This window comes from Homo sapiens, chromosome 14 (assembly GCF_000001405.40).
Source record: "Homo sapiens chromosome 14, GRCh38.p14 Primary Assembly".
Lineage (NCBI taxonomy): Eukaryota > Metazoa > Chordata > Mammalia > Primates > Hominidae > Homo > Homo sapiens.
The window spans coordinates 51,866,086-51,880,846 of NC_000014.9; the positions used below are offsets into that span (position 1 = coordinate 51,866,086).

General features: G+C 38.9%; 1 protein-coding gene across 15 annotated transcripts in view, besides 1 other annotated feature; it reads left to right on the forward strand.

Annotated features, from left to right (window-relative positions):
* Positions 1-14,761, forward strand: part of GNG2 (G protein subunit gamma 2) — a 143,622-nt gene that overhangs the window by 39,912 nt on the left and 88,949 nt on the right. For 10 of the 15 annotated variants that reach the window (NM_001389707.1, XM_024449633.2, NM_001389708.1 and 7 more), the window contains one exon: positions 11,532-11,572. The exons of 2 other annotated variants lie outside the window; for them this stretch is intronic. The gene's annotated coding sequence lies outside the window, so the exon portion shown is untranslated. Of the gene's footprint in view, positions 1-5,814; positions 7,205-7,796; positions 7,998-11,531; positions 11,573-14,761 lie in introns of all 15 variants that reach the window. 3 more of the 15 variants (XM_047431486.1, XM_017021377.2, NM_001243773.2) reach the window with 3 other exon arrangements.
* Positions 337-556: an enhancer, noted in NCBI's record as "active region_8383". NCBI's record gives its function as "activates an Ori minimal core promoter by ATAC-STARR-seq in GM12878 lymphoblastoid cells {active_cell/tissue: GM12878}" and the evidence as "EXISTENCE:reporter gene assay evidence [ECO:0000049][PMID:35858748]".

Here is a 14,761-nt window from a genome sequence, read left to right on the forward strand (position 1 = left end):
GCTGTTAATGAAAAAGCTTTGAAAAACCAGTCTCTTGACCACTTCTTCCCTGTTCCCTGGCCTTCCCTTGCTCCCTGGCCAGCCCGGGTGTGGGGTCAGGCATTCCCCTGATCCTCTTCCCAGGAACCCAGCACTCAGAGGTAGAGGAGAGGGGCTGAAAACTGGGCTGACTGGTTCTACTCTAGATTCACTGCATCTCCGCAGGGCCATTGCTGTTCTTTCAAAATTCTTTCCTTCTTCCTTTTTTATTTCACTTTTCACTCTGTCCTGTGCATTTTCAATGGAAACCATTCAACCAAGTCCCTACTGCCTTTGTGCGTTAGAAGTGACCTCACTTTCTGTCTTTCTGAGAAGGCACATATTACAGACTTCCTCAACCTCATTCTTACCACCTTAGAATTTCCCCACGTCTTCCTTTATTTTAGATCATTTGAATTGCTGTCACAAATTACCAAAGATGAGGTAACCCAGAAACAACAGAAATCTTTTTTTTTTTTTACACTTCTATGGGCTGGAAAGTCCAAGATCAAGGTACTGGCAGATTTGATGTCTGGCAAAGGCCGTGGACAGCACTTTCTGTGTGTCCCCACATGACAGAAGGGGCCAGCTGGCTCTCTCCAGTCTCTCTTATAAGGGCACTAATCCCATTCATGGGACTCCATACTCATGACCCAATCACCTCCAAAGGTGGCCTCATGTCCTAATACCATTGCACTGGGGATCAGGTTCCAACATATGGGTATGTAGGGGGACAGAAAGATCTGCGTCATTCACATCATTCATTCTCCTCTTCCTCCTAAGTCAAATTAACATCATCTTTCCTTTAAGCCAAGAATAAACCCTCTACTTGGACTCTCTATCCCATTCCCTTTTACTTTCTAAGGGATTATGTTGTGACAATAATTCTGTCTTTCCTACATATTTAGTTTCTTCTCTTTCTTGGTCCTTTCCTCTTTCCCTGTAAACATGCTTAGTTTTTCCATACGCACACAAAGTAATTAAGAAGTAGATGAAACAAATCTCCTCCTACCTCTCTGCGGGCTCCAACTTCACTAACTTCAGTTCCTGCTCCCCAAATATGAGTGTTCTCAAGATACGAGTCTTTGGCCATTTAATTTCTCCCTCTCCCTAATCAAATTCTGTCCTGTGATTTTAGTCACTGTTGCTGTGTGGGTCAGTCCCAAATCTGATGAAGCATCCTAATCATTCACCTCCTCTCTCAGCTTGTACAGCAAGCTGCCTGCAAATTCACCAGAACATCCAACCCACAGAAAATGAAACTCACATGTCCAAAACTGTGCTCACCATCACCTTTCCCACTCCTCAAAACCAGCTCCTCACCTGATTTCATAATTGTTAATGACACCCCATTTATCATTACCTCAGTTATGACAATTCAACTTCACTGTCTTCCTCACCAAGCACCTCTAGTTGCAGGAAGTTGCATGGCTCCTTGCAATTGTGATTGGGAAAATATCTTGATACTGACTCTTTTCCATGTTTATAGCCGGTGTCTTAGTTGAGGCCCTCCTAACCTCCAGCTGGGCTGACTTGTTTTTTGAGTTCTTTTCTCTCCGCCTAGGATAAGTTAGTTCCTGCTTCCCCTTCCACACTTTGTCCCCACAGTCTTACTTCTCTGAATAACCAAATTCCATCTGTCCTGTAAAGCTCAGTTCAAATGCTGCCTCTTTCATGAAGCCTCCCTTGGTTTCTTCCCTTTTTTCCCCAATAAAAAAACAATGCTCCTCTGAAATCTTTTGTTCTTTCATCACAGCATCTAGCTCATTCTAGTGTGTATAACAGCAATCTGCATAATTTTTTTTTTTGACCACACTCCAAGCTCTTTGAGGACAGCGGTCACATCTGGTTTCATCTTTGTCTTCCTTATACCACACAATGCAGTTTGTTTATCATTCATTTATTTAATGAACATTCTTGAGTGACTCATTTTTTGATGCAGAGTGGGCTAGACATAGTACTTGTCCTCTAAGAGCTCACAAACTCATGGGGAAAACAGACAAATACAGAAATATAATTACAATAGAATTAATCGATGTGTTCAAAGTCCTAATGTCTGCAATGTGCCATGTGCTCGTCAAGATGCCAGGGAGACTAGGATGAACAAAACTGGTCGGTTGTTTTCTTGAAACTTACATTCGAGTATTGAGAGAGACTCAGTAAACACATAAACCAGTGGTTTTTAGGTCTAACTGCACATTAGAAATCACTGAGAGGGTAGTTTGAAAAAAATATCATGTCCCAACCTCACCTCAGAGTAATTAAATCAGAATCAACCAGGATTGGAACCATTGACAGAAATGACTTACAATAAAAGAAAATGTCAAGTAGTAGTGAGTGCTTTGATGGATTGAAGTAGAAACAGGGTGAATGGTGGGACTGTGCCTATGCTGGCAGGGGTAATTGGGAGATTACTTTGTTGAGTAATCCCTGAAGGCCTCTCTGAAGAGGTGACATTTGAGTTGAGACCAAAATGATGCTGAGGATTCAGCCATGTAAAGATATTGGGGCGAAGGGGGCTTGTGGAGAAGGTTTTGAGCAGAAGGTGCAGGTGCCTTTCTGAAATAAGAATGAGGTGAGATTTCAGAGGAAATGTGTCCTTCTTCACATACATGTTCTGTAATCTACAAACTATGTCTTTTTCCCTACAGAAAGCAGCTTTTCGATAAACTTTGTAGACTCCAAATGCAGAACACTTGGCTGCTGTGTTGATTACTTGATCTGGGTTGGATTTTATTTAGTTCAAATTGATTTACACAGTCAGGAAGACTACTCTGTTTGATTACATTTTTTTCTCTACACTGCAATCAGCACTACACTACTTGTCTGAATTAAATACCATTCTTATTGTTTAAAATAACCTTAGGTACTTGATATTATCTTTATTTGAATAAAGAGGAGAAAGCAATGACTTCTGCCCTTATTCCTGTTTTGGGGAACCAGGGAAAGCCTCCTAGAGGAGTCATTCAGACCACACAGAGTAAAGAAAGCACTAACTAATTTGAATAAGTGAAGACTAACATATGTCAAGAATTAAGTTGAGAATGAACATTTGTTAGGCATTCAGTTTGTGCTGGATACTTTAGCTAGTTTTAAAAATAACCCTACGAAATAAGGACAATATTTTTCTATCAGGATATTTCTGGCTGCTGATAAAGGAATGTCCTACTAAAATGGCGTAAGCAATAGGAAATTGATCGCAAGACCTCTGATAGGAGGGTAGCTTCAGAGTTACTTATGTGGTAGCTGGATAATGTCCTTAGCAACCTGGATTCTTCCCTTCCTCCCACTGTGACACCTTCAGCAGGTTGATTTCCCCTCACTGTGTGGACATGGCGTCTACAATTTTGGAATTATAGGCATATTTCAATACGTAGAGGCATATCAAGGTGCAGCAGATTTCTTATGTGGCTCTTTCTGGTTTGTTGAAACAGGGCCTCGGTCTGTCACCCAGGCTGGGGTGCAGTGGCATGATCATGACTCATTGCAGCCTCAGCCTGCAGGTGGGAGGCTGATCCTTTCACCTCAGCCTCCTGAGTAGCTGGGACCACAAGTGTGTGCCACCATGCCCAGCTAATTTTTGTATTTGAGTAAAGATGGGGTTTCACCGTGTTACCCAGACTGGTCTTGAACTCCTGAGCACAATAGATCCACCCACCTCGGCCTCCCAAAGTGCTGGGATTACAGGCCTGAGCTACCTTGCCCTGCCGCGGCTCTTTTTAAAGTCACAGAAAATCTGTGTCCAGTGGAATTTCCACTCACAACTCACATGCTATATGTATGAGTAAGTAGGCAGACAGAACCACTGTGATTGGCTAATTTAAGAGTTTCCTCCCGAGGCCATGGAGCAGCCCAGGCTCGCTGAAGAACAAAGTCATCAGACCCCAGCAAAAGGGTCTGGTTCTATTAGCAAGGAAGAGGGGGTTAGTGGGTAGGCAGTCAATAGAGTTGGCCACTATTATTATTCCCATTTTATAAGTGAAGATATCCAGACTAAAAAGGTTAAATAACTGAGCAATATCATACAACATTGAATTGAACAAAGTTTCCATGCATTTCCCTTTGAGAAAAACACGAACAAAAGCCTTGTTTTTGGCTATATAACAAACCTGCACGTGTACCCCTGAACCTAAAAGAAAATATTAAGAAAAAAAAAACAACTTGTTTTTGTTGTTAGCAATGATCTAGGTAGGCCAGAGGAAGAATCCTGGCGAAAAACACAGACTGGAGAAAGCTAGGCAAAGTAAAGAATAACCTTCTAAACAAAATATTCCAGAAGGAAATACATCAGGTCCTATAAAGCAATAAGAATGGCATTTAATTTAGACAACCAGCCCTGCATTTCTGCATTGTAAAATATATATATAATTAAATTGCATTTTCCTGACTGGTCATTTAAATCAATTTGGTCTATATAAAAATCTACCCTGGGCCAAGTAATGAGCTAGAGACGCCAAGCATTCTGTGTATAGTATCTGTCAGACTTAAATGAAAACCTTGTTTTCTCTAGAGAGGTAGGTATTTTGTTGATTACAGTACCTGTAAAGAAGAATGGATCATCTCTGGAATTTCTGATTATGAGTTATTTAGAAAATAGTTTCCACTTTCCAGCTCCGGAGGCAGCATATACAGTTCCATTACTGTCGCATTCTCTTTATGGTTGCTGCTTCCTACTTTGGCATTATATTTCAGAGGCTATGCACATGAGGCAGCAATAGTGAAAAAGGGAAATTTCAGTGGAATTGCTGTTATTACAGTGTTTTGACTACTTGTCTCTAAGGTGTATTTCTGTGCATGTTCATCATAACAGACTAAGCATTAATGGTAGGAGTACTTTTTAAAATAAATGATGGAGTGCTTCCTACTCTTAGATTTGCATTTTTAAACAGGAAAGTAAGTTAATTCTAGACTTTGCCAACAGAGCTCTGTTTAAGGAGAGTATTTATCTGATCTATGTTAGAACCATATAAGAAAAATTGTGAAAAAATTTAAACCGAAACCCTCACTTTCATTTTAAAGGCTTTATTTGGGAGAATTAAATTGGTCCTTTGCCGTTTTTTTAAACCTCATGAATGACGGTTGTGTTTAGGGAACATTGCTGTGTATAGGCATTAAGGCATTTCATTGACATTTTTATTTTTTCTTTGGAAAAAAGTTGATATTAAACAGTTCTATGTCTTTTAAAATTAAAATAAGAAAAATTTAAGTAGAGGTGAAAATTCCTAGGCAAAAAAAAAAAGGTCCAACTAGTCTTTTCTTATTCATCTTAAAATAATCATAAAATACTGAAGTGTAGAAAAGTAACATTCAAAGATAACATGTAGGAGAGTGTAGCAGTTAAAGGACATTGGTTTAGAGTCAGAATTACTTGGGCAAATTGCTTAAGCTTTCTATGCCTCAGTTTCTTCATCTATAATGGGAAATAAGATAATATCTACTTCACAAAACTGACAGGAGAAAAATACATAATAAATGTGAAATGTTTATTTAGCAAGGTGCCTGAATTGTAGTGTAATTATTCAAAATAAATATATTATTAGTATAACTTATTGTTATCACAAATCTGCAGTAGAGTATCTTTTATTCTATCCAAGGGATTTGCACCAAATTCTGCAGAAGTGATTGTTATGGCCCAACATTAATCATAGGTGCTCAGACCTTGGAATAAGGCATCCCCTAAGGAAGCCTATTATTGTCGGATGTCGTTTTGACTTCATGAAGTAATAGTCTGGGTTTGTGCTGTTTGTTCAGGAATCCATGTGCTTAGCCATCAATATCTCCAGTTTTCCTTTCCAGCTCAGGATAGGCTTCCACTTCCCAGTCTGCTTTGGTTAGGTGTGGCCACATGCCTTGCCTTGGCCAGTGAAGTGAACAGAAGTGAGGTGCATCACTTCCTGGAAGAAGCCATAAGAACCGGCAGGTGAGTGCAGTGGTTGAAGGATAGAAGTGTTCTCTGCACTCTTAAGCCTGGGTCATACTGTCAAGACAACACAAAGAGCATCTCTGCTAAACCGCAGTGGACATGGAGAGAAAGTGAGAGATAAGCTTTGCTCAAATAAGCCAGAGAGTTTTTGAGTTGTTGCCACAGTATAACCTAGCCTATATGGATTGAAACTCTCTGGTTTTCCCTTCAAACTCTAGAGAAAAAATATATTCTTGGTTACAGTGCAGTAGCTATTTGGATACAATAATTTTAAATGACTATTTTGTGTGTGTGTGTGTGTGTGTGTGTAATGTATTATATGTTAGCATCGAGGGATTTAAGCGAAATAGATTTATATAAATTCCACTTACATTTCTTTTAAAATAGGGTTTATTTCCACTTCACACAGAAGAAATCAACATATCAAAATTACTAGCATATATATGTTTTATTTTTTGTTGTTGTTTGAGGGAGTCCACTGTGATGCCGATGTTAGGACTCTGAACTGCAGGCCTGGTATAATCATTAGGTAATGTTCCCTCTCACTGACAGCCTTACCCAGAATGGTGCCTTGTGAAGCAAAGGAGCTTCCTAAGAGAAGATAACGCGCTGAGCCATGCCCATGGCCTTTGCCTCCCATGAGAAAATAGTCTTCCCTAAGCCCTATTGTGATGTTCCAGTTATAAACAATGGTGCTTAGTACATAGAAGGTCTAAAATGATATTTATTGAATAGATGAGTGGAAGCAGTGCACTGTTCTCCAAATGTCTGGACTCTTTCATGTTTGCATTTTAAAAATAGATGCTGTTGTTTTGTAGATTTGTTTAAAAACATCTTGGTATTAAGACTGACATCTATTCTTTTATAACACTTTACATGTGGTCATGTACCCACAGATTTAGGCTGTTTTATTTTATAGTTTTCACTACAGTTTATTTCACCTGATTATTTCATTTGGGTCTCTAAAATCACATTATGAAATACCTTAATTATTTAAATTAGGAACAGATTAATTATCTCCAGTGTACAAACTCAAATTAATTTCATTATAAACCTGAAGTTTAAATTGATTAATCTTGGAGTGTTTAAGGAATAAAATGGGTTTTTCTTCATCCTTAAGGAGAAAGGCATATTTGATTTGATGAGTCTCTCTTCATCACACCAGTTATGATACTAGGCACAAGATATTTGCAAGAAAACTTCAGATGGATTTTATAAACCAGCCAGAAACCTGTGTGTCTGGGGCTTCTGGGGGAACAATCTGTGAGTCATTTTAAAAAACAAACACACTCATAATCACGGTGCATGTTGTTACCATGGTAATTAGGCCTGTTGAGTTGGCTTGCTTATGTTCCTGCAAAAGCAAGAGGGGGAGAGAAACTGAGAATTCAGAGCTTTGACTATTAGCTTCAATTTGCCTACTGCAGGAGAGAGTGAAGGGGTTTCTCAAGAATGCACTGGCACAGTCATTCTGAGAGGGAAGTGAAGAAACCCTGGCATCCTGCCTTTGTTATTGAATATAGGTTAGCCATATTAGTGTTGGATATTGTGGTTCACAAGGGAGAAAAGGATCATTTGGCATTCTCTTGGGAAAAAGGGGAAAAATAGTTTCTTTCTCTGATATATGACTTCATGTAAGTCTCTAAGGTCAACCTTGTGGAGTGTCTTGTGTGCCTATGCACAAGGTTTTAATGATCCTCTAAAAGGCACCAAATGCTGCTGATGAACATTATTGCAGGTTTAAATGATCTCAGCATATTATTCTAATCTGGTTAGAGGCTAGTTTTAATGAGGCCATTGTTTCAGATCTGATTCCCAAGTAAGCAAGATATCTTTTCTCTGTTTTATGGACTAGGTACGACTCCTTTATCTTGGACAGTCATCTTGTAATGCAGGCCTGTGGGATACAAAGGAGACCAGGGAGGTTATGTGAGCTCTGCCAAATCTATTACTACTCCAGGGGAAAATAAAACCAAATTCTTGGGCTAGTGGAATTACTGTAGGAGAAATCCAGTATGATTCCATGTGAAGAACCAATAGCACCCTTAAATTAAAGGTATGAGTGTACACACAAATCTGTTTTTAAGACTGTTTCTAAATTCACTTTAAGAAGCCTGGGGCCAGGCACAGTGGCTCACGCCTGTAATCCCAGCACTTTGGAAGGCTGAGGTGGGGCGGATCACGAGGTCAGGAGATCAAGACCATCCTGGCTAACGGTGAAACCCCTTCTCTACTAAAAATACAAAAAATTAGCCGGGCGTGGTGGTGGGCGCCTGTACTCCCAGCTACTTGGGAAGCTGAGGCAGGAGAATGGCGTGAACCCGTGAGGAGGAGGTTGCAGTTAGCCAAGATTGTGCCACTGCACTCCAGCCTGGGTGACAGAGCGAGACTCTGTCTCAAAAAAAAAAAAAAAAAACAGTCTGGCTGGGTGTATTTGGCTTACGCCTGTAATCTCAGCACTTTAGGAGGTTGAGGCAGAAGGATTGCTTGACCCCTGAGTTTGAGACCAGCTTGGGCAACGTAGAGACACCCTGTCTCTACAGAAAATAAAAAAAATTAGCTGGGCGTTGTGGTGCACACCTGTGGTCCCAGCTACTACTTGGGAGGCTGATGCAGGAGGATTGCTTGAGCCCAGGAAATTGAGGCTGCAGTGAGCCACGTTCACACCACTGCATTCTAGCGTGGGTGACAGAGCAAGACTCTGTCTCAAAAAAAAAAAAGTCGGGTATCCTCTGAAATGAATAATTATAATGCATTGACTAAAGTTTTACTGCTTAGAATATGCCTCAATCAGATTTTAAAGCAGAACTTTTTAAACTATAGATTTCGTTTTTCCTCTCATATGTGGAAAGAAGATACATGTTTCCCAAACTTTATTCTATATTTAATTTTCTTAACATTAGTAAACAAAACTTAACTTAGTTTTTTTCTGATCATCAAAGTAATTCATACTGATTATTGAAAAATGTGGAAATTATTGAAAATTTGAAAGAAAAAATAAAAATGGCTCCATCTGTTAATTAAATTGTTAGTTGAACTGCATGTAACAGTGGCCTGATTTCACAGTGGCTAACATAAGTTAGAAGTTACTTCTTTTTAATGTAACAATCCGGACGTGGATGGCCCAGGACTGGTAAGGTAGCTGTGCTCCACAAGATCATGCAGGGAGCCAGGCTCCTTCTATCCTGTTTTTCTATCATTCCTATGAGGTTTCTCTTGCTTTCATTGTCTAAGGTGGCTTGTCACAAAGGCTCTGCTATAACCGGCAGGATGGAAGAAGTTGGAAGGGGAGGCCCTGACCCAGAAGTTACACATACCACTTTTGATGCTGTACCATTGAATTTTGTCACATGACTGCATACCTAGCAGCAAGGGAGGTTGGGGAAAGTAGCTATTATTGATATGTAGGTGCTTAGCTTAGAATTCTATTAAAACCATGGAAGAAGACGAGAGCAGATGTTGGGGTATATCTAGCAATTTCTGCCACTTTTGTTATTCTGTTGAACAGAGGAAATATATTGTTTAGATTTTGATGTATTTTCTTCCAGTCTTTATGTATCAGAAAGATACTATGTATAATTATACTAGAAAATGTGTTATATAATACAACTTATATTATGTATATAATACATGTTAGTGCATATATATTAGAAAAATATATTAAGACATAGAAAATATATATTAGAAAAAACATATGTAAATATGTATATTAGAAAATTGTTGAGTTCACACTATATATAATATTTTATATTTTTTACTTTAAAATTTAAATGACAATGCATTTTACATTCTTTTTACTTTATAATAAAATAACCTTATTTTAAGTTACTTTTTAAAGTAACAATATTTATTAATTTTAAAATAAAGTTAAGTAAAAAGAGAATATAAAATGCATTTTTTCATCATTTAAACATTTTTTTCTTTTTTCCGAGACAGACTCTCACTCTGTCACCCAGGCTAGAGTACAGTAGCATGATTATGGCTCACTATAGCCTCACTCTCCTGGGCTCAAGCTATCCTCCCACCTCAGCCTTCCAAGTAGATGGGACCACAGGTGTGCATCACCATGCCTGGCTAACTTTTGACTTTTATTGTAGAGAATATGTCTCGCTCTGTTGCCCAGGCTGGTCTCAAACTCCTGGACACAAGTGTTCCTCCCTCCTTGGCTTCCCAAAGTGCTGGGATTACAGACATGAGCCACTGCACCTGGCCCGTTTAAATTTCTTGTATTCATTGTTTTAAAATTTTATCATGTGGAGTTTCTGTTTTACTTAATAGGTTGAATTATTGATATTTAGGCTATTTCTTAACACCTTGATAATTCTTCTTTGTCCACATTGTGGGTTTGTTTTGGTTAAAGTCATGGAGTGGCATCACTAAAACAATGACTGAGAACATATTTGGGTCCCTTGATAAACAGGACCAGACGGCTTTCCAGAGTAGTTGTGCCAGCTTCCACTATCACCAATAACAAATGAGTGCCGGGCCCAGAACCCCCTTGAACAGGCTTATTTTGCCTGTCCCACCTAGTCTTTGTTACCCAAGGGTTCATTCTCCGAAAATAAGTTGTTTTTAGCCCTTGGCTTTTTTTTTTCTTTTTGCTGTCATTAATCATGAGATAATGGTTTTCTAATAACTTTAGCCCATTTAAAAACATATGGCCCCTATGGTAGTCTGGGAATATAATTGGTTGGGTTGAGATTGTAGCACACAGGCCAGTCTCAAGTAATGTGAGGCCTCTGGAGACACTGATGTTCGTTTGGCCCTAGAACCCCTTGCGAATTTGAGTTCCACCCTCATTCATACTATTCTAGATGTGAGATATCTCTTTGTTCTCAGACACTGCAAAATAGGAATGGGAAAGTGTTCCTTGAGGCTTTAGCAATTCCCTTTGAGCTGAGTGCTCTAAAGCTTTTCAGGAATAAAGAAGCTCATCTACACAGGAACTTTCTCCCGTAGGAACCACACTCGGCACTGGACAAACGTAGGCCACTCTGCCTGATAGCCACAGAGGTCATTAGTGGCTAAGGGCATAGGTGTCTTCTACTTCTAAACAGCCTATAGAAGCTGTGGGTGCCAAAGATACTCTTATAACCACCAACGTGTCCTCCACCCTCCTAAAGGGCCAGATACACACAAACTGTATGCACTCAAACTCTGTCCCTAATACCTGGAGCAAGAGTGTGTTGGTCTCTGCTGCTTTGGTCATGCTCGGAGCAAATTAGATTAGGTCAGGAGGAAAGATTGTTCTTATTCATTCCATCGGTATACAGCCTCTCCCACCAAGGACTCTGCTTCCTCTAGGTTCCTAAGTGGCCTTTGTGTTTTCATGTTTTCTTGCATGCTAGGAGATTTCACAAAGAAAGGGACTCCAATTTCACAAATCTATTTCTTAAAAGAAAGAGAGTTAATAAAAGTTCATTTCTAGGCTCTGAAATGTAAACCTGTGAGACCTCCTGCCCTTATAACTATATTGCCATTACCACCCACCCCCGTTTCAGAAACTTCATTCATTCTACTTATCCAGCTCTTGTGTATCATGTTATTTTTCCTTTTAAAAAATTCGTTTTTCTCTCTGCTTTCTCAACAGCCAGATCTGCCAGTGAGCCTCAGGCTTTAGGAACTGAAGAGGTAAGAATTCCAAAATATTTTCTTCTAGAATCTTGAATTTAACCAGAACTTAAAGAGGAAAAAAAATGTTAAGTGGTCTATAGATGAAAGCATGTGATGTTTTATTGAAAGAAACAGTCATAGAGTCCTTATCAATATTGACATGACTTCAGAATTTAAAGAAAAAATGGCTGTCTTTAATGATAGTTAAAATTGATTTTCATCCAGAATTTTTTCATTTTCTTCTAAAAACCTGAGTTGGAGAGCCTTTGAGGCTGCTGTCTTAACAGAATGTATCCTCACGGCACAAACATGATTAATAGGTGGCAGACATTGAGGGCATACCCTGTGCAAGATAAAGCCTCAGATGAGGCTGATTAGGTCAGGGAAAGGTAAACCCTGTTCTTAACAGATGGTTGTAAACATTGTAAGGGCTTTTCCAGCAGCAGCAGCAGCAACAACAACAACAAGAGGTCAATCTAATGCTATTGGGGTTTCATCTTGAAGAAGCTTACTTAGCTTTTGGAACTAGCTATAGCATTTGAATCTTGTTCTAGACTTGAAAGATAACCATAATCCTAGACAGGTGATAACGTGTTTGCCCACTCCAAGATACACAGTTTTCTCTAGTCAATGACTTAGATTCCCCTCCCCCACCATTTTAAAATGTAACTTCATTATGAAAAATGCCAAGTGTGTACCAAAGTAGAGAGAATAATATAATGAACGCCTACATCCCCATCACCCAATTTCAATGGTTGTCAACTCGTGGCTGGGATTGTTTCATTTCTACCTCTACCTACTTCTCTTCTTTCCCCATTGGATTATGGGTGCTTGCTGAATTGTTGGGCTTTTAATTGTTTATTTACATAACTGTTTAGGGGATACAGCAAATGCTAAAAAAAAATAAAACCTACTCATAACCTGACTTGCTTTACTGGAGCTAGTCATCCATCCATTTACGCATTCAGCAGGTATTTATTTCATGTTTACTAGGTATCAGTCCTTCCTTAGGATAAGAGGATCGATTTTCCTCAACTCATATTTATAAGGTCTGCAAATTTGGACTTTGGATATCTCCAAATGAGGTGATCTGTCAGAGATGTACTGACCTATACATGTATAGCTTTTGCTGCCCTATAGTCAAGTTCTTTTGAATTTAAGTACCTAATGTCTTTCAGGTGAGGGCTGAGACATCCCATATTCTATCAAATGTTACTAATAATGACTCTTTTATAAGCATCTGATGTTCTTTGAGTTGATTTCTGTCATGCTAATAAGTATGCTTAAATTTTTCAAATCAATCCAAGCAGAGTTTGTCAATGGGGTTTGCTGGCACGTCCAATGGGACAATTCTTCATTATCATCTTTGGTATCCCTGTCCTTGGTTCACAAAAGGCTGTGGCATCTTCCAGTCATTGTGACATCCAGAGCACTCTAGGGAGACGTTGTGAACATTGTGAACTACCGTGTCTTTGCACACAAATTTAAAGAGGTTATTTGGCATATTCCACTCATCTAAAAGCATTTTTCCTTCATACAAAATCAGTGGTTTCAGTTATGCTCAGTAGTTCCTTATGTAAGTAGTCTCTGTGCTAACAAACGCAAGAAGCTAAACAAAGTAGACAAGTAAAAGGAAGTATTGTTCTGTACTGTCAGGGGGATTTTGAGTATATTTGGTCTAGGGCTAAATTTAGTTTTCAAAGTATATACATGGAAAAAAATTAAACATGAGGTAATGGTCAAATATTGAGGTTAGAAGCAAAATACCAGCAAGGCATTATTGAACAGCAACTGTGATTAAAGGTGTATTAGTTTTCTATGGCTGCTGTAACAAATTATTACAAACCTAGTGGCTTAGAACAACACAAATGTATTATCTTACCATTCTATAGGTTAGGTTCTATAGGGATTTCACTGGGCTAAAAGCAAAATATCAACAAGACTGTGTTCCTTTCTGAAGGCTCTCTGGGTTGGATTTATTTCCTTGCCTTTTACAGCTTCTAGAGCTTCCTCCATCTTCAAAGCCAGTAGCATTGCCTCTCCATGCGTCTTTCTACCATAGTCCCATCTTCTTAATTTTTAGCCAGGAAAGGTTCTCTGATTTTTTAAGTATCTGTGTGATAAGATTGAACATACCTGGATAAGCCAGGCTAATCTCCTCATCACCAGGGCCTCCATTTAATCACATCTTTGAAGTCTCTTTATCTGTAAGGTTATGTATTTACAGGTTCCTGGGATTAGGACTGAACATATTTGGGGCCTATTATTCTGCCTACTACAAAGTCAAAGAGACTAATCCTTCAGAAAGGTAGAAATGCTTCAGGTAGCAGACCATCTAATGTCTAATTATATAGGATTAAAACATTAAGGTTTCCAACTTTGATGAAGCCAATTCTCATCTTGACTCTACAGTTCTCATTTTGTAGGTCCAGGTACTGAAGACTTTTGGTTTTCTTGAAGTGTCTGGCATTGGATCAAGGGGACTGGTTGAAGTCCAATGGCTCCTTTCTTGCCCAGACTTTTGGGTACTATAGGTATGGCCCCTAGAGAGTATGCTGCTTTTGTCATTTCTCCAACTCTGGAGGGTTTGCCTACAGTGTACAGATTACAAGGTCTTGAACAGAACCAAAGAAATGTGAGGTTTTTATTTTATGCTGTTATGTCTGGCTGTTATTTTATGTATTATTTATTAGGCTTTAAAATGTGGAAATTGGAGGAAAAAATAACATAATAATACAGAACCTCACTAGAGTGGTATTTATTATAGCCAATTTCTAGGTATGGTATAATTTCCTCCATACATTAAGTTATCCCCACAAAGTAAGAAACCATTTCTTGCCGGGTGTATGAAATAGATCACTGGGTTATTTTTTAAAAATCATCTTTTGAGTAGAATATGGCTGGAAATTTATGGTGAAGATTTAAAAATTTTCAGCTTTTTTTTGTTGTAGCAAGTCCTCTTAAAATCCACTTTTAGACACTTCAGCAATACAGACCTGAAGTCCAAACCTAGAGCTAGCAGCAGGGCAACAAACTGCCCTTATTTGCCAAGACAGGGCTTTCCTGGGACATAAGACTATCGGTGCTAAAACTGGGAGAATCCGGGGCAAATCAGGACAGTTGGTCACTCCAGATGTCTAACAAAATGACTCTTAATAGAAAGTAGCTGTCACATTGATGCATTGTTAAAATATAAATTTTGAGTGA